Below are 18,775 nucleotides of genomic sequence, written 5' to 3' on the forward strand. Positions count from 1 at the left end.
AAATCTGGAGCCTCCCAGTTTAATTTCTCCAGATAACACACATGGCTGGGAGGAGGAGGAAAAGCGGCCGCCTGCTTCCTGGACACCGTTCTCTGGGCTCCATGTGTACAGCACCCATGGCTGTCCGCCGTGTCTGCATCTTGGCTTTCTCCATTTTGCTAAATGATGAACCACAAATTTCTCTAACTTCTCTTGTGCTGTGGACTTATATAGTCACTGACAGCACAGTTGGGAGAAACAGATAAAGGCACACTTCCAAGTTGCCAAGCGTATCCAGTGGCCTGACGTTTTTAATGTTTCACCTTCAATCTCAGTACCACACCTATCTGGTCCACTCAAACAGGCTTCCTGTGATTACCTCCAACCCTAACCTCCTCTTGGTGCCCATGGACGATGGTGCACGGAGTTCCAGGCTGCTGCTCGGCTTCTCACAGACCTTACATGTCTGATCTCAGAAAGCTACTTTTGCATACCATCCTCGTGAATATCTCCTAAGTGGAAATGTAAAGTTTGCAACAAAAGTCTGAAAACAAATGAATAAAATAGAAGAACTAGCTTCTACAGGTTGCAATAAGACGGCAAAAGAAACGAGTATGAATGTACATGTTTCCTTCATTCATTTTCCTTTGATGTCATTCCAAACGAGGCTGCAAGTGGCTTAACGATATGTTCCTGGAAGAAAAAAGCCACAAATAGGCGTCGCTCAACTGGATTCCAGCCTGTGACCGCACAGGGCCCAGGGGCAGCAGAGGGGCATACCCACTGTCCCCGTCACAGGGAAACCAAGCATGGCTGCTGGAACAGATACCTCTGGGTAGCACAAACATGAACAATCACTAAGACGCATGACTGCAGCATACCGCTCTGCGCTGCTGAGGGCTCACGTTCACAGTCACGTTCAGTTTGGGGAACTGTGATTGAAAACCAGCTCTCAGGAGCATCACAGGAAGACTAGAAGCCTTATGACAGAAGGCGTGGTCAGGGGAGAGAGGCCGGCATGGTCCCTGGGAAGGAGGTATCCCCAGGGAGATGGGGTGGCTGCCTTCACACACTCAAGAGTCTGGAGAACAAAGAGCAAGGTCTCTTGAGGCAAGAAAACGGCCGAGATGGAGATGAGGTTCTCCTCCCAGGAGCACCTGCTCAGCTATCATGCATTGGCCACGTGAGGCACCAGCTCAGATCCGGTCCTCCGGGGACGGGAGATCCCATGCCTGCGGTCGTGGCCCCAATCCGTCTGGCTCCTGTCATTCTGTGGGATCCTAGGCAAGTTTGTGAACTTTCCTAGGCTCAGCCTCCTGCCTCTGGACAGAAGCAGCAGTAGCTAACACTGCAGCCCTGGCCTAAGCATTTGATGCGTCACTCATTCCTCAGCACAAAAAGCACCAAGCCAGGACTATTACTTCTGCTGTTTTCTTGACAAGGAAATGCAGGTGCAGAAGTGATCCATGAGTGCGAGCGGCCCGGTGTCACCCTTGTGCGGTGTCTGAACATTCTCCCGTGACTGCCTTTTCATTTGCAATGGGGGCCCCTCTCCCAGGCCCCTCCACACCCTCTCCTGAGAGCAGAGGCTGTCATTCTCCTGGTACCTGCAGTGGTGTCCAGAGCCTCAATCTCTGTTACAAGAACAAAATCTGGCTTGTTTTGAAAACAGGAAGAAGCATTTTTGGAATCCCATTATGAAAATTAAGAAAACACGGAAACTGCTAAAATTTCAGATCCAAGAATGAATCTTGGAGCAAGGAAAAGCTATCAAGGTCGCCCGAAAGGGGCATCTGTTGGGATCCTGGAGAAGCAGGCAGGAGGTGACCTTGCTCTCGGTGGAGCTGGCCACAGGATGGGCTCGGGAAATAATTCTGAACCCTCAGGGCTCCCACAGAGGGCTGGAACATTTCCATTTAAATCCAAACGTCAGTGACATTTTTACTTTCCTCTAGAATTACAGCAAGACCACAAATAAAACTTGAGCACAGACAGCAGGAGATACAAGGTACACAGAAGGAAAAGAAGGCAGTGAGGCCAGCACAGGAAGAAGGAAAAGGTCAAAGAAACAGGCTTAGCAAAGTCAGCAAAGAATAGACAAATGGATGGAAACACACACAGGAAGAATGGAGGAACGAATGGAGAAAAGAATGGATGGATAGGAGGTAGAGAAGGAAGGGAAGGAAGAGACGGGAGGAAGGTGGATGGATAGGAGAGAGGAGAGGGAGGGGGAGGGAGGGGAGGGAGGGGAGGAAGGTGGATGGGGAGGAAGGTGGATGGGGAGGAAGGTGGATGGGGAGGAAGGTGGATGGGGAGGAAGGTGGATGGGGGGAGGCAGGGGGAGGAAGGTGGATGGGTGGGAGGTGGGAGGTGGGGAGGAAGGTGGATGGGTGGGAGGTGGGAGGTGGGGAGGAAGGTGGATGGGTGGGAGATATGAGGGGAGGAAGGGGGAAAGGAAGGTAGATGGGTGGAAGGTGCATAGGTGGGAGATGGGGAGGGAGGAAGGTGGATGGGTGGGAGGAAGGTGGATGGGTGGGAGGAAGAGAAGAAAAATAGATGAACAGGAAGTGGTGAATAGATAGGAGGAAAGCGGAGAAAAGGAAAGAATAAAGGAGAGAGAAGAAAGAGAAGGAAAGAAAGAACGAGAAAGAAAAGGAGAGAGAAGAAAAAGGAAAAGAAGGAGAGAGAAAGAAGGGAAGGAAGGAAAGAGAAGGAAAACAAGAGAGAAGGAGAAGGGAGAAAGAAAAAAGGAGAAGTGAAGGAAGCAGAGAGAAGAAAACGAGAGAGAAGAAAAGGAAAAGAGAGGGAAAGAAAAGACAGGAAAAGAGAGGGAAAGAAGGAAGGAAAAGAAGGAAAGAAAAGAGAAGGAAGGGAACAGAAAGTAGAAGAGAAGATAGAAGAGGAAAAAAGAGGGGAGGGGAGGGGAGGGGAGGGGAAAAGGAGAGAGGGGAAGGGAGGGGAGGGGAAAAGAAGGGAGGGGAGGGGAGGGGAGGGGAGAAGAAGGGAGGGGAGGGGAGAAGAAGGGAGGGGAGGGGAGAAGAGGGGAGGGGAGGGGAGAAGAAGGGAGGGGAGGGGAGGGGAGGGGAGAAGAAGGGAGGGGAGAAGAAGGGAGGAGAGGGGAGGGGAGGGGAGAAGAAGGGAAGGGAGGGGAGGGGAGGGGAGAAGAAGGGAAGGGAGGGGAGGGGAGGGGAGAAGAAGGGAGGGGAGGGGAGGGGAGAAGAAGGGAGGGGAGGGGAGAAGAAGGGAGGGGAGGGGAGGGGAGAAGAAGGGAGGGGAGGGGAGGGGGGGAGGGGAGGGGCAGACGGGGAGGGCATGCTGGGGGTACAGACACACCCCAATTCCCATCTTTTTCTCACTCATCTCATGTCCGGGCATGCCGGGGGTGCAGATGCACCCAAATTCCCATCTTATTCTCACTCATCCAGTGTCCAGGCATGCTGGGGGTGTAGACACATCCAAATTCCTGTCTTATTCCCACTCATCCCGTGTCCGGGCGTGCTGGGGCTGCAGACACATCCAAATTCCCATCTTATTCTCAACTCATCCCGTGTCTGGGCATGCTAGGGGTGTAGACACATCCAAGTTCCCGTCTTATTCTCACTCATCTCGTGTCCGGGCGTGCTGGGGGTGTAGACACATCCAAATTCCCGTCTTATTCTCACTCATCGCGTGTCCAGGCGTGCAGATACATCCAAATTCCCATCTTATTCTCACTCATCGCGTGTCCGGGCGTGCTGGGGGTGCAGATAGCAACGTCTCTATGGCTCACCTTAGCTCCCAGAGAAGATAGGGGGAGGAAGAGAGGGGTAGGGAGGGAGGAGGAGAGGAGGGCCAAGAGGCTCTCCTGCCCTCCTTCCCCAGCACCCAGGGGCAAGCGCTCTGGGCTCCACAGAGGCCTCCACAGGAGTGTCCTGCAGGAGAAGCCTGCTCTGGGCCCTTAGTGAAACTGCCGGGGATTTTTCTGTATTTTCAGGTCTGTCCCAGAGCAGTTTCTAAATCCAGTCCCATTCTCTCCAGGTCTCAATTACATGCTCTTGTTCACATCGTAAAACTTTCTAAAATAAGTGCAATCAAGGACTTTGCCAGAAAGCAAACAGGACAACTGTTGTAAACACTGGTAAGAAATTTAATAATTTTCCTTGTATTCACTGGGATGGGAACATCATACAATGGTAAGACTGAAATTCCATTCTAAGCACCTGCCCTAACCCCATGAATTCTCACACTGCTTTTTTTTTTTTTTTTTTTTTTTTAAGATGGAGTCTTGTTCTGTTGCCAGGCTGGAGAGCAATGGCGCAATCTCCACTCACTGCAACATCTGCCTCCCAGGTTCAAGTGATTCTTCTACCTCAGCGTCCCGAGGAGCTGGAATTACAGGCACCCATCACGATGCCTGGCTAATTTTTAATATTTTTTAGTAGAGATGGGGTTTCAACATGTTAGCCAGGCTGATCTTGAACTCTTGACCTCATGATTTGTCCGCCTCAGCCTCCCAAAGTGCTGGAATTATAGGCATGAGCCAATGCGCCCGTCCCCACACTGTCCTCCTTTCTATCCATCTTTCATGAGCCCAAATCTTTGCCACACATCAGTATATATTTGCTTAGCAACCCTTTTCCTATTATAATGTTTTAACTTGATTAGGGACTCATACACTGGAAATTGTCAGTGATCCAGGGACGGGAGAGTCTGACGTCTGCATCTCATCCGCCAGCCTGAGCTCCAGTCGACGCTCACTGGATGAGGGTTCTCATCCGGCAGCCTGAGAGCCGGTTCACGCTCACTGGATGAGTGTCATCCGCCAGCCTGAGCTCCGGTCCATGCTCACTGGATGAGTCTCACCCGCCAGCCTGAGCCCCGGTCCATGCTCACTGGATGAGTCTCACCCGCCAGCCTGAGCTCCAGTCGACGCTCACTGGATGAGGGTTCTCATCCGGCAGCCTGAGACCCGGTTCACGCTCACTGGATGAGTGTCATCCGCCAGCCTGAGCTCCGGTCCACGCTCACTGGATGAGTCTCACCCGCCAGCCTGAGCCCCGGTCCATACTCACTGGATGAGTCTCACCCGCCAGCCTGAGCCCCGGTCCATGCTCACTGGATGAGGGTCTCATCCACCAGCCTGAGCTCCGGTCCATGCTCACTGGATGAGGGTCTCATCCACCAGCCTGAGCTCCGGGGTCCATGCTCACTGGATAAGACTCATCCACCAGCCTGAGCTCCGGTCCATGCTCACTGGATGAGGGTCTCATCCACCAGCCTGAGCTCCGGTCCATGCTCACTGGATAAGACTCATCCACCAGCCTGAGCCCCAGTCCACGCTCACTGGATGAGTCTCACCCGCCAGCCTGAGCCCTGGTCCATGCTCACTGGATGACGGTCTCATCTACCAGCCCGAGCTCCAGTCCACGCTCCTTGGATGAGATGCCAATCTCACCATCAGGACCGGGCCTTCACGTTTCTGCACTTTGCTTACACCTCGGATTTTTCACAAAACCCACGTGAGCAGTTCCAAAGTGGGTGCTACCCTCCCCACTGGAGACACACCGCATGGCGTAGGCTCAGCTGCACTCCCTCCATAGCGGCTGGCGCCTAAGACGAGGAATGCGATTCATTAAATGTTGCTGAAAAGACCAGGAAATAAACGTACGGGATCAAACTGACAGCTCCCTGTGGCAGAACACGTCTCCGGCAGCTAAGCGTGGTACCCTGTGAAGTGCCGACGGGAGCACGGCTGATCTGGAACACAGGTGATTCACCTGTCACTACAGCAACGCGGTCTAGAAAGATTCACGCTATGTCACAGGCAATGCCATCTGGACACCCACGTTTCCCCTCCTCTGGGATTTAAGTTTAAAACACCCTTACCCTGTGAGCTGCCACATGGCCTGAGACCCTAAGTGGAGGCAACCTGCCCGGGACAGGTCCCCGGGACCCTCCAGCCCAGGTGAGGAGGCGGTCCCTCCCCAGCACGTCTAGGAAGCGCTGCCTTGGGGTCACCAGACTGTAACTCTCATGGCACAACAAGAATACGGACCCACTGCGCACCTGCCCCGGGAAAGCACAGCCTCTGCTGACACGAGGAATCAGAACAACCAACGGCCAGCCCAGGTGAACAGGCCAGGGCCAGCCAGCCACGTCTTCTAAAGACGACAGAACAAAATGGCATTTACGTACTTAAGAAACTTTCTCATTCCGTATGTAACCAAAGTGCAAAATTCACAAATGCCAACTGCAGGGACCTCCTCCCTCACAACTGTCAAAGCCCAGTGGGAGAATCTGCAACGGGACCTCAGAGGAAGCCCTCTCCGTGGCGACAGGGCAAGGCAGCCACTGCAAGCAACAGCACTCAGGCCAGAGCAGCTGTTCTCATGAGAACATGTGATCCAGTCACAGGATCAAACACTGGGATGGGAGCCAAGTTCTGAAAAGATAATAAAATTCCACTGATTGGATGGTGCTGAGGTACATGTTACCCTCTGTCATTTCAGTCATTAATTAGCCCTTACATGTTACCATCTGCCATTTAAATTTACCCAAATCAAGAATAAAAATAAAACTGCAGCCCAGATAGACACCTGAGGCAGTGGAAGGTCTCCGGTGCCTGTTCAGGGCTTCACGTGGATCTGAGCATCATGCGGACACGGTGGCGTCTGCCCTCAGGGACACTGCACATCCATCCTCGTACCACGGTAGGGACGGTCACTCAGTGGGGCGGGGGGAAGTGAGGGCTGCCCCGGCCCACCCCCACAGGCAGACTCAGCCCCTCCGTGCCGCACCCACACATCCATACAGCAAATACCTGCCCAATGTCCACTTTCCGTGAGCAGGCAGCCGGGGCCTCAGGTGATTTACATACTGCTGCTGGGGGTTGGGGTGGAGACTTAGCGTTTAGTAACCACCACCCAACTATGACAGTGGTATTTCAGAGACAGGACGACATGGAGATGGGAATCCGGATGGTCTGACTGAAGGATCAGGGGAGAAATCCCTCAGGACAGAGCATCCAAACTGAGCTTTAAATGCCACCTGGACACGGCCAAGTGCACGGCCTGAGCAGAGTTCCTCATGTGGATGCAGCGGCATGGCTGTCGGGAGGGACAGCGGCGTGGCCATCGGGAGCCCTGGTAGCAGGGAGGAACTGAGACAAGTCCGTATTTGTGATTTGACTCAACAGTTGGACAGCACAGTGCAAGCCTGCAGGCCAGAGGCCTCCGGTGCAGACAGTGTAGAGCTTAACTCACACTGACCATGGGAGGCCTCTTCCTGGAGAGGCTGCTCACGCGACCCCATGATGGAAAAAGTGTGGGGCTTAACTCACACTGACCACGGATACCTCTTCCCTGGAGAGGCCGCTCACGTGACCTCATGGAGAGAGGCTGTGCCGCACAGACAAACCCCCTTACAGAGTCCTTGTAACTTGCACCTGGGCATCAAGCTGTCCGGCTATTGAAGGAAAAGCAAGCTGGGCTTGGAGAGGAATACCAGATCTTCATAAATCACTCAATACCAAGAAACATTTCACAGACAAACACATAAGAAGTTGCTGTGAGAAAGAGGAGCTGTATCTGAGCAAAGAAGGTTCCACCATTTATAGCCACACTGAAATTTTACTCTCTAAATCTCCACGGCCTGTGTCATACAAGCAGTGAGGCCTTGTTATCCAAGTCGACACTGTTATTAAGATCTCTCTGAAGAGGCTGCCAGGCAGTGGATTTTATTTCCTAGGTTTACAACTTTGACTGGGCTTAGAGACTGATGAGGGATGGGTTTGAACCGCAGAAGGGTGAGAGCGAAGTGGGCAGCTTCCCTAAGCAGCGTCTTCTCCCTGAAGATGATCTTCCAGGCACCCTCTCTGACCCTTCTTTCACTGCATGTATAACTCACATTTCTTCCTGGCTCCGGACAGTCTTTTCCTCAACTAGATTTAGGCAGGTGCTCAGCACCAACGCTCACTTCTGAATCCCGACTGGAGGCCCCGACAGACGCTGCCCTCCTGAGCAGCTGGGACGTGCCTGGCTGGCCTAGGGAACAGAACCCCCATTGTAGCTCGTAATTCTGCATCCCAAACAACATCCTAGAAACACTTTTAGAATAGTTTCTGGAGGAATAGGAATGTAAATGTTAGGAAAAAAGGGTGGAAGTTAATCAGAACACAAACCCCTTACAGGCAAGTGCGCAGCAGCACAGGGGAACAAGAAAGAAAGATGTTTTCCACGAAGATCCTGCACAAAGGAAGTCACGTCCCATGGGGCCAACCAAGAAAGCAGCCTCGGCTTTGGAAACGTCTGCGTTCCTTGCTGCTTCCCAGGACAGCTGCACATGGTGCACACTTGCGTGTCACAAGCAACGTCTCCAAATGAAGGTCGGCAGGGAAACAGCCTCGCTGGGGCCCTAGCACCGCTGTCCGGAGTCCCCCCATCCTGAGTCTGGTGTCTGGGCCTCAATCAGGCGGCCCGGGCCGTCCTTCTCCTGTTTTCCTCACGTTTCCGGCAGATAAATTCTGAAATGGACCTCGTGGCTAAAACCCAGCCCTGTCGCCTTCTCATCAGCTCTGCCCCTTGCTCCTGAGAGGGTGCGAGGGAATCAGCCCAGAGAGGGCTCCTGAGAGGGCCCAGAGAGGAGGAACGCAGTGGAGGCCAGGAGGCGAGGCGGGGTGTCCTCTTCTGAGACCCCAGTGGCCAACTGTAATAATAAAGTTTGCCTCTATGACTTCATTTTACCAATTTTTTTTTTTTGAGACAGGGTCTCGCTCTGTCCCCCAGGCTGGAACACAGTGCCACAATCATAGCTCACTGCAGCCTTGACTTCTTGGATTCAAGCAATCCTCCTGCTTCAGCCTCCCATATAGCTGGGATCACAGGCACCCACCATCATGCCTAATTTTTTCTTTTGTAGAGACGGGGACTCCCTTTGTTGCCCAGGCTGGTCTGAAACACCTGGACCTAAGCAATCCCCTTCCTCAGCCTCCCCAAGTGCTGGGATCACAGGCGTGAGCCACCACCCCCGGCCTTGTATGTGATTTTAAAACACATTTTGAAGTGTAACCCTGAACACGAACCTAAAACTTCCACCTGCATATGATTTTCTTCATTCTGGTGGAAAATGCACTGAACTCCCTTTTTGCATCATGAAATTCCTGTATTCAAAATACTGTCCGCCAAAGTAATTCTTACCTTTGAACAGAATCCTTACCTCTAAGAACATACTCTATGATTAACTGCTTTTTCTATTTCAAAAACCCTTACTTTGCTCTTTGGAGATGGAAATCTCAAAATCACTCCTTCTAGCAGATCTCAGAGGCCAAGACCCATCAGCTCATCCTTTAATTGGGTCTTTGGCTATAAGATGAAAGTCTGTAGAATACCAGTGGCTTTAAGAAGTTTTATAATTTGTCACGCATTCTTCTTAAGTGTTTTCTAAGTGGTGCCCAACTGAGAAAGGGGAATTGTAAAAGCAACGTTCTACTTCAATAGGAAACGCAGAACTGGGCCCTGATTCACAGGGACAGACCTGGTCTCTGGCGAGCTCTGGGCCTGTGGAGCGACCTGGCTCACTGGAGAATGGGACCCTCAGGCCCCCAAGGCCACACCCTACACGTCTGTACGGGATGGCACTCGGCGGGTGGCCCTTTTCTAATGTGTACCCTGCTGTGGGGCTGGCTCTCAGCAAAGCAGCGCTCACCGAAACGAAAGTAAAACAGAGGCCGGTTCCCTGCGGTGCTGGCCACCCGCTCCCGAGCCGCAGCTTCTCGGACGTCGCACACCCCGATGTGGGCAGAGCGGAATGTTCTCCTCGGCGCTCCTTCACTGTGCTGCAGTCTACACCGAACCACGGCAGCTCCATTCGCTGCTGTAACAAGTTGAAAAAAAACTAATTAATTCAAACTTTAGTTTTTTTTAAATTTGTTACAGCGCTGAGCAGAGCTGCCGACCCCATGCAGGACAGCACACAGACCACCAAGGGGACCACAGGGCACGACCGCCCTCTGCGCCCGGCTAAGGCCAGGGCCACCGCGGGAGGCACGGTGCGCTGGAGAACCGTCCTGGCAAGCGAGGAACCGCTTCTGTTTCACTTTTGTTTGGCAAGGCAAGAAAGTTAAAACCAACAGCGTCCGTGGCCTACAGTCAGACCCCACCTTCTGCAGCACATGAGGGCACCTGCAGAGGGGAACTCACAGGGACAGGGCGGGGGCAGCTGTCGCCCCATGGCTCTGCGAGAAGAGAATGAGGGAGGGGGCGCAGGCCATCAGGGGATCTACCCAGCACTGCCCTGAAGCCTCTCGCCCCAGCATTCCAGCCCAGCCCTCTGCTCCCCTTCTCTCGGGTTCCTCGGCGTCTATCCCTGACTTAAGCCTCTGCTAAGCAAGGTCCACAGAAACATGTTCACTGTTACATCACTGTCTCAAAAATCAAGGCAAGAAAAACACGAAATGAAAACAAAACTACCAATAGCAGAATCTCCACACCGTTTCCTGCAGCCTGAGCCTCAGGAAACTTTCCTTACTGAGTCAACAGGACCCGGACGGGCCTCGGGAAGAACAGAATCGGGGTTTGTGCAGGTGTGGACATGTGCATCCTTAAACCTTCTAAAATCTTCTTTCAATGGTAAGAACTATGCAAGTTCAATTTCCACCTTTAAAATTTATGTTGCTAGCCTTTATGTTTGAGGAAGAAACTGCTTGTGTTAGCTTTAAGCCATTCCTCAAGCCTACCAAATTTTCAAGGTCGCTCTTGGGCTGAATTGAGCTTGCCAGCTGGGAACTGAGGTGCTAGAATCCCCATCTAATATGAGATTCTTTTTCCTGACATTTACAGAACCCAGCTCAAGTGCAGGAAAGCTGCCAATCTGCACACGTAGAAACGCTGGCGGGAAACCGACTGCCCTTCTCAAGAATCATCATGGATGTTTGCAACCACATCTCAACACACAACCAGCTTTCACGATTGCCAAGTCCTGGGCGGGGTATCACAGCACTGTCTAGATTTGGCCTGTGCCACCAACAGAAGCCTTGGATTAAACCAGAATCAATAGTAATAAATAGCTCTCTAAACCAAATATGTTGAAATCACTAATGCACTCATATTTTTACGATTATAGCATTTTAAAGTAACCAACCCAATACCGATCTCTACTTATAGAGAAAACACCTATTAGGCACACTTATAGAAAAATCCTCTGTGCCTTGTATATTCACACAGCACGTGTGATCACTCAAAGGAACTGAATGCCTGGAGGGTGAACGCCAGACGCCTCCTCCTGCCGACTGGGAAGCAAGGGAGCGTCTGCCTCCAGATGTTTCTCTGGCACATAGTGAATGCGGGAAATGAGAGGACTCATGCTACTCATGGGGGTTACCTACTCGGAGGCTGCGGAAGGTAGGCTCCAATTAACTTTGACCTCTTCTTTTCATATCCTTTTTGTGTGATGTCACCTGCAAGAGAAGGAAAATGAAGTTCAGTATGGTCTCCGTGGATAGAGCATTATCATTCAACGGTGCCCAAGAAGACACAGTTATCACAGTATCTTCTGTGTGCCTCATTGTTAGAATTTTAAAAGCAAGCACTGCACATCAAACAACTTCAGTTCCTCCCCTGCTCTCGAACAAAAGCCCACAGCATGTAAGTCACTAAAACTCATTTGTTAAACACACGCCTGTTTCTGGCCCCTTCTGTATTTATCCGGATGGGGTCCAGGGTTAGACCCCTGCCATCTCATCCCCACCCGCTGGCACAGGAAGCCAAGCCTGGTGGCCGGGGCTCTCGTTAACTCAGTCAACGACAGATCCTGCAGCTGCCAGGGCCGGGATGGCCGACACCAGCACCTATTGGCATCTTCTTCATTAACAAGATGTTTTCTAACCAAGCAGGTCGGTCACAAGGACTTGAAGCCGCCACAGTGTTTTTGAAAAAGGAGTGACAAAGGCTAAGGGAAGAAGCAAAAGGTGTGAAACCTGCAGAAATCCAGAAGACAAGAGAAAGGTGCTTGTGGTGAGGCAAGAATCCACATGTTAAAGCTCACAGACAGCCACGGACGCGCAGCAGCCATGCCTTTCCTGGAGCCAGCGCAAGCACACAGGACAAAGCCACCTCATCGACACACAGAGGCCCTTCCCATTCACAAGCTCCAGCACACACAGAATACTCATTCGCTGTTCATTTTTTTGGATCTGTTGTATTGTTTTCTAAGACTGATCAAACCATAATTCCAAGAAGAGTGAAAAATTCAAGCTTTAACAAAAATATAGCAAATGAATGAAAAGTTATCAAGGTACACACACAAGCTGGTCAACTCACTTTTCCTAGTGAAAGGCGGGCAGTCTCGGATGCTGCCTCTGCCTCCACGGCTGCCTCCACCAACTCACAGCTCATGATACAGGTTCTCGTCTCCCCCACGGAACACAAGGCTGACGTCTCAACACGGAGCCAAGAACCAAATGACACGGAACCCGCATCCGCCCATCAATGAGTGTTTTTTTTTTTTTTTTTTTTTTTTTTTTTTGAGACAGTCTCTCTCTGTCGCCCAGGCTGGAGTGCAGTGGCGTGATCTCAGCTCACTGCAAGCTCCGCCTCCTGGGTTCACACCATTCTCCTACCTCAGCCTCCCGAGTAGCTGAGACTACAGGCGCTGGCCACCACGCCCGGCTAATTTTTTGTATTTTTAGTAGAGACAGGGTTTCACCATGTTAGCCAGGATGATCTCCATCTCCTGACCTCATGATCTGCCACTTCAGCCTCCCAAAGTGCTGAGATTACAGGCGTGAGCCACCGTGCCCAGCCGATGCTAACTAGGTAGCTGGCCACTGACAACAAAGGACAATTTCTGCAGAAATGTTAAAGCTTGCCGGGCACTCCACACCGGCAGCCATCAGCTGCCCACTACGGAGACGCTCAGTTGCTTTTGGAAATGCCTTGTTAACCCGTTTTACAAACAATGTCCAAAATCTGAACCACAGAAGCAGCCACATGTGCACGTGCTTGATTTAAATCGAGCCCCCAGTCAATCAGCAAAGAAAATTTCCAGACAAGACTTTAATAAATCCTAGGTTACTATCATCTCTCAAAACCTAGGAGGTGGGAAAGGGTGGCAGCACTGAGTAACTTCCATGCCCCGCATTTTCCCCCAAACCAGGGTCTGGGAACTAAGTCTCGAGGCTGAGCCCAGCTTCCAGGCCACTTCTGGAGACACGCTCTGTGCTCACGGCCTGCTCCTTGCCGAGCTGCAAGGCAAGACAGTTCAGTGCAGCTCTTCACAGGAGGGTTTGCTGGCCCATCCCCAAAGATGAAAGTGTTTAATCCTTATAAGAACTTATTTTACAGATGAGAATTTGAGGCACAAATGGTACTCACGTTCCTCACCCAGGACCACAAATCTAAGACAAAACTCTGTCCAGCTCCAAAACCATGTCCCATGAAAACCACACCTAGAGTCTTCCACTCTAAAGCTGGTGTGGTGCCCAGAGGCCGCAGCCCTGGCTTCCTGGGCTTTCCTCGCATGTTCACGCCCCGTACATCCTCCTGACTCCATAACCTGCCTGGGAAGTGCCCTTCTCCGAAGGAAACGGGACTCTACTTCCTGCTTTGCCCTCTCCCAGCCCCTGCCCTGCATGGATGACGCCTCTGGGTACCCACGGCATAAATCACACGCTGTAGCTTGCGTGATGTCGTGGATGACTGTTCATGGTTTATTTGTAACACACATGCACAGTTATCCTTAAAACCAGACAATGTCCCATAGAACTGTGCCCCAACCCAGTTGTCTTACAAACTGAAGCCAGGGTGCTCCTGCGTGTACCACATGTACCACACACACAGACGTCTGTGCCTGACGCAGAGAGACCTGCAGGTAAGTGACTGGCTGGGAGTGCGCTGAAGACCTGGGCAGACGCGGGGTGATCATTTACCTGTTCAGTTACTGGGGGGCGGGCAAAGGGGAAACTTACGATGATTCTATCCCAAAATGCAGAAGACGACGGCTTGATGTGCATGCTACCCCAAAGCCGAAGCGCTGGATGCCACGGCCCTGAGACCAGGCTCACTCAGGCCCCAAAGCTCATGGCTCACAAACTCCTGCTACGTTTTCATGGAAAAAGTCCAGTTATTTTTAACTCTGGACTGCCTCAGCATCTGGTAGACAGAGGTCCACCAGATTCCCATGATAGACTCGCTGCAGGTTTACATGAGCAAACCTTCTAGCAGCACTTTTACATGCCGTCCTTTATTTTGAAGAACCAATGTTTCCCGTGCGAATACAATCAGGTCATAGGTGACAGGTAGATAATAGATGATGCATATAGACAGACGACAGAGATGATGGACAGATGGCAGGTGGTGGGAGGTGAGAGACTGACAGGCAGAAGCTAGCTGGCTGACTACACAGTATCCTCCCTGAACAGCTTCTTGGGTTGGGCCCAAGGCCTGACCTTCAATCAATGCCACGCTGTCACTAGGGAGACGGTGGCTCTGACAGTGCCTGGTGCTTCCTCCATTTCACACTAGGGACACAGTGGCTCTGACAGAGCCTGGTGCTTCCTCCATTTCACACTAGGGACACGGTGGCTCTGACGGTGCCCGGGGCTTCCTCCACTTCACACTAGGGACACGGTGGCTCTGACGGTGCCCGGGGCTTCCTCCACTTCACACTAGGGACACGGTGGCTCTGACGGTGCCCGGGGCTTCCTCCACTTCACACTAGGGACACGGTGGCTCTGACGGTGCCCGGGGCTTCCTCCACCTTCACACTAGGGACACGGTGGCTCTGACAGTGCCCGGGGCTTCCTCCATTTCACACCAGGGACATGGTGGCTCTGACGGTGCCTGGTCCTTCCTCCATTTCACACCAGGGACACGGTGGCTCTGACAGTGCCCGAGCCTTCCTCCATTTCACACCAGGGACACGGTGGCTCTGACGGTGCCTGGGGCTTCCTCCACCTTCACACTAGGGACACGGTGGCTCTGACAGTGCCCGGGGCTTCCTCCATTTCACACCAGGGACATGGTGGCTCTGACGGTGCCTGGTCCTTCCTCCATTTCACACCAGGGACACGGTGGCTCTGACAGTGCCCGAGCCTTCCTCCATTTCACACCAGGGACACGGTGGCTCTGACGGTGCCTGGGGCTTCCTCCATTTCACATTGGTTCAGGCTGAATGATCAATTAATTCCTGCCTCTCTTCTCTCCCTCTCACCTTGCGTCCATCAGGGCATGTGGTCATCAGCATGCAGCTACGTAAACTAAAGGCGCAAATGCTCCGAAAGAGGGCACATCCTTCCCCACGTTTCTAAGCTGGGGCCATCACGTGTCTGTTATCCCGCTAGGCGTATCCACTGCTCACAGCCTGCTTGTTCATATTTCCCCAAACCTGGAAGCGATGGGAACGTCATCCAAGGCTATTTCGAAAGTCAACTCCCGTCTCCGGGGAGGCCCTCCGGGAGGCTGGGTCTAAGGCACACCCTCAAGGCTGCTGTCAGAGAATGTGAACCACAGGAGCCCCTGCCAGAGCGCTTTCCACGTAAAATTCCAAACAGCATATTTTCCTGCTTCCACATCAAGGTACCCATTTATTTAATTTCCTTTTCACTTTATGACAGAAAAGTAAATGCAGTAATTGTAACCTCAGTGAGAAAAATAAGTGATCTCTTTAGAAACATTTTCTACTTCATTAAAAAAACGCCACTTATGTTATTCTCAGAGACTTTCCGTAAGAATTAAAATTTCAGAAGCAGAAATTAAAATCACAAAGAGGAGAGATTTACACACAAGTCCTACTTTGGAAGTGAAAACCCCAGTGAGGCAAAGTCACCAGCAGAAGGTCGAATGAGACTGAGGGATGATGCTTCTTTCCCTCCCTGAAGGGAACAATTCTTTTTCTCACTTATGTTGCAATCCAGAGTTTCAGGGCAAAACCCAATCTTACAAAAGCAGGGAAAGGTCTGCCTGGCAAACGCAGGGTTAAGATGACAGAACAGACAGACACCCGGCCCTTGTGGCTTCCTCTCGGCCTCAGGCACGCACCAGCCAATCTGGCCCAACTGGAACCAGTGCAGAGCCAGTGCTGTGAACGTCAGGCTCAAGACACGGACACTTGGGAGCCGCGTGACCCTAGGGGATGAAAGAAACGGGCCACAGAGCTGCTTCCACAGCGTGGCTCAGCTCCAAGCACACAGACCCACTCGGCAGTGGCGGTTTCCATGTGCAGTGTCAGGAGACTATTTAATGCTGGAATTAATAGTTTATATAACAAAGCAATCGTTTCCATGTTGGGAATTCTACGGCTGTCAGGAGCCCTGGTGCTGCTGCTCTGAGCCTATTGCTTTATAAGGAGCCAGGAGGCCCCGGAAGGCAAGGCCGCAGCCTCGTTTTTAAATCTCCGATAGGCTTCTTCGTTCTCCAGCAGGCGCTGCAGACCGGTGACAGCTCCTGTGTGTACCCCTCGCCTGCACTGGGGACAGGGGCAGGAGGACCTGGGATGTCCTCTCACCCCAGCAAGCTGAGCACAGCAGGGTCCCCCATGGGCCAGCTAACTAGTGTGGGTCGCATTTTTCTCATGGATAAAATATTGGAGATAGCACCTATCTACTTGCTGCCGCAGATGGAGAGATCAAACACACAGGATGTGAAGGTCTCAAAGCACTAAGGACACAAGAAAATCTTTAAAAAAAGTTCAACAAGCATTCATTCAGTATCTATTTCACATTCAATTCATGAGAGACGTCCAAGTTGATGGGAGGACTCATGAACACAGACCTGCTGTGCACCCTGCAGGGCCACAGGTATCGCCCCGTCAGGGGAGGGAGGCAAAGAAGATGGACCACAGAAAACCAGGGGCTAGGAAGAAGCTCAGAATCCTGACCCCAGAAAACAGGGGCTAGGAGGAATCTCAAAATCCCGACCCCAGAAAACAGGGGCAAGAGGAATCTCAAAATCCCGACCCCAGAAAACAGGGGCTAAGAGGAATCTCAAAATCCTGACCCCTGAGAACCCAGTTGTTGCTCTGCTCTGATGTCAACCACCATCTAGGGACCCCAGACGCCGCGGGCCCCCGTGTCGGAGACACTCCAGCTCTGGGGCTGAGGCTCCTTGCCCCAGGCATACCCCAGACAGCAGACAGAAGGGTCGCTGCAAGAATGCAAACGTGGTGAGCCTCTCTCCCCAAACTGCGTTGGAGGCTTCTCCCTGCTGTTTGGGCTGTGACCAAACTCCCCACAGGGCCTCCAAGTCCTTCCCAACCTGGCCCTGCCGCCTTGGCCACCCGTGCTCTGCCATGGCTCCACCTGCACCTGCTGTGCCCATCACCCCCTCATTCTCACAAGCCCCTGCCACATTTCCAGTGCAAGCATCGGCAGCTTAAATTCCATAAAGATCTTTTAAATAAGGTGCCAGGGTAAACATAAAGCCTGCACTAGGATTCATACATTCACCTGAGCTTTTTGCTTAATAAAAAACATTATTTATTGTTATTTAGTGCCTAGCGCCCCGCACTCTGGGCGACAGAGCAAGACCCTGTCTCAAACAACACACACACGCACACAAATATTTAATTAACGGTAGGAGCAGGAAAGAAACACATTTTAGACATGCTGTTGCAGTAAGATCTTACTCGGGCCAGGCAGGTGGACAAGGTCACTTAGAGTTTTACCTTTTTGGTTTTAAATTTGTATTGTCCCCTGTAGCTCTTCTCTTTGGTACGTTAAGAACTCCAGTTAGAAAGGGGATTAAAGGAAACAGCATGTTTGGAATCCATTCTATTTGTAACACATGGATCAAAAGAACAGGTGAAAGATCAACAGAAGTTCACACCACCGCAGTGGTCTTGAAAATAAGCTTCTGATGTTAAAAGAGAATAATGTAGTATTAACAGTCCCTGAAGGGCTTAGAAATATGAATGCCGATGGAATTTTTTAAAATTCAAAGCACGTGTGCAGTGTGCCGCGCGGAGCAGAGGCTTTGTGAGTTTGAGGAGACTCCTGTCCTACTGCAGCCTCGAAACACCCCCTCCCTTCCAGTCCCTGGCAAGACTGGGGGCTCTGCACGAGGTCCCCGGAGATGCCCCAGCAGTCATCCTGGCCAGTGGGAAGATTTAAACATGCCAGTTTCACACAAAACCGCTGTCATAACTTGCTAAAAACTCTTCAGGCAAGCATAATTTCTCCAGTGTGTCCTGGGAGTTAGAAATCCCTCCTTCACACAAAAAGGAAAGAAACCCGACCTGTAGAAAGACAGCTCTGAGAAGACTATGCCGTATTAAACACAGCTACTTCCCTTTCCCATGACATTGATTCTCAATTTTGCAGATCTCAGGCCTCAGCAGTAAGTTGGTTTCAGTGGATGTTGTATTTACATTTTTTGGTGTTGGGGGGAGCGAGAAGGGGCAAGGTAGGGACAATGAAGCCCAGCTTCCATTATTTCCAGCTGGACATCGAGAAGCTGACGTGTAGAAGAATACCCAGCATGGCCCGCCGCCTGCTGTGGGCTCTTCTCAGATGGCCGCCGTGGGCCTCATGGCTTGAGAGCAAGTCTCTCACGCTCCACCCTCCGCTTCCCGACAGACAGAGGGAGAGACCCCCTCAGAGTTTTTTCTTTGGATTGGGAGGGAACATGAGCATGAGGACAGGTGGACAGGAGAAAGGATGGAGGCCGATTATCCACCTACAAAGTCGGGGTCTTACTGCCAACTTTACAGACAACTATGTCATTTAAACACTCCACAAGCACTATCATCCTTGTTTCACAGATGACAGTCTCAGCAAGTCCGAGATGCCCAAGGCATCTGGCCAAGGGCCAGACTGGTGGCAACAAAG

At 51.7% G+C, this 18,775-nt stretch overlaps 1 protein-coding gene across 7 annotated transcripts in view, besides 1 other annotated feature; it reads right to left on the reverse strand.

Moving 5' to 3' along the window:
• The window catches only part of DIP2C (disco interacting protein 2 homolog C), a 415,468-nt gene that overhangs the window by 200,920 nt on the left and 195,773 nt on the right, over positions 1-18,775 (reverse strand). For 4 of the 7 annotated variants that reach the window (NM_014974.3, XM_005252427.5, XM_011519432.3 and 1 more), the window contains one exon: positions 11,339-11,410. In NM_014974.3, coding sequence (NP_055789.1) covers positions 11,339-11,410 — 72 coding nt within the window. Of the gene's footprint in view, positions 1-9,660; positions 9,829-11,338; positions 11,411-18,775 lie in introns of all 7 variants that reach the window. The other 3 variants (XM_005252426.4, XM_005252428.5, XM_011519429.4) reach the window with 1 other exon arrangement.
• Positions 16,083-16,610: an enhancer, noted in NCBI's record as "H3K4me1 hESC enhancer chr10:537143-537670 (GRCh37/hg19 assembly coordinates)". NCBI's record gives its function as "activates a minimal SCP1, AML or CMV promoter by ChIP-STARR-seq in primed H9 embryonic stem cells {active_cell/tissue: H9 hESC(primed)}" and the evidence as "EXISTENCE:reporter gene assay evidence [ECO:0000049][PMID:30033119]".

This window comes from Homo sapiens, chromosome 10 (assembly GCF_000001405.40).
Source record: "Homo sapiens chromosome 10, GRCh38.p14 Primary Assembly".
Taxonomy (NCBI): Eukaryota; Metazoa; Chordata; class Mammalia; order Primates; family Hominidae; genus Homo; species Homo sapiens.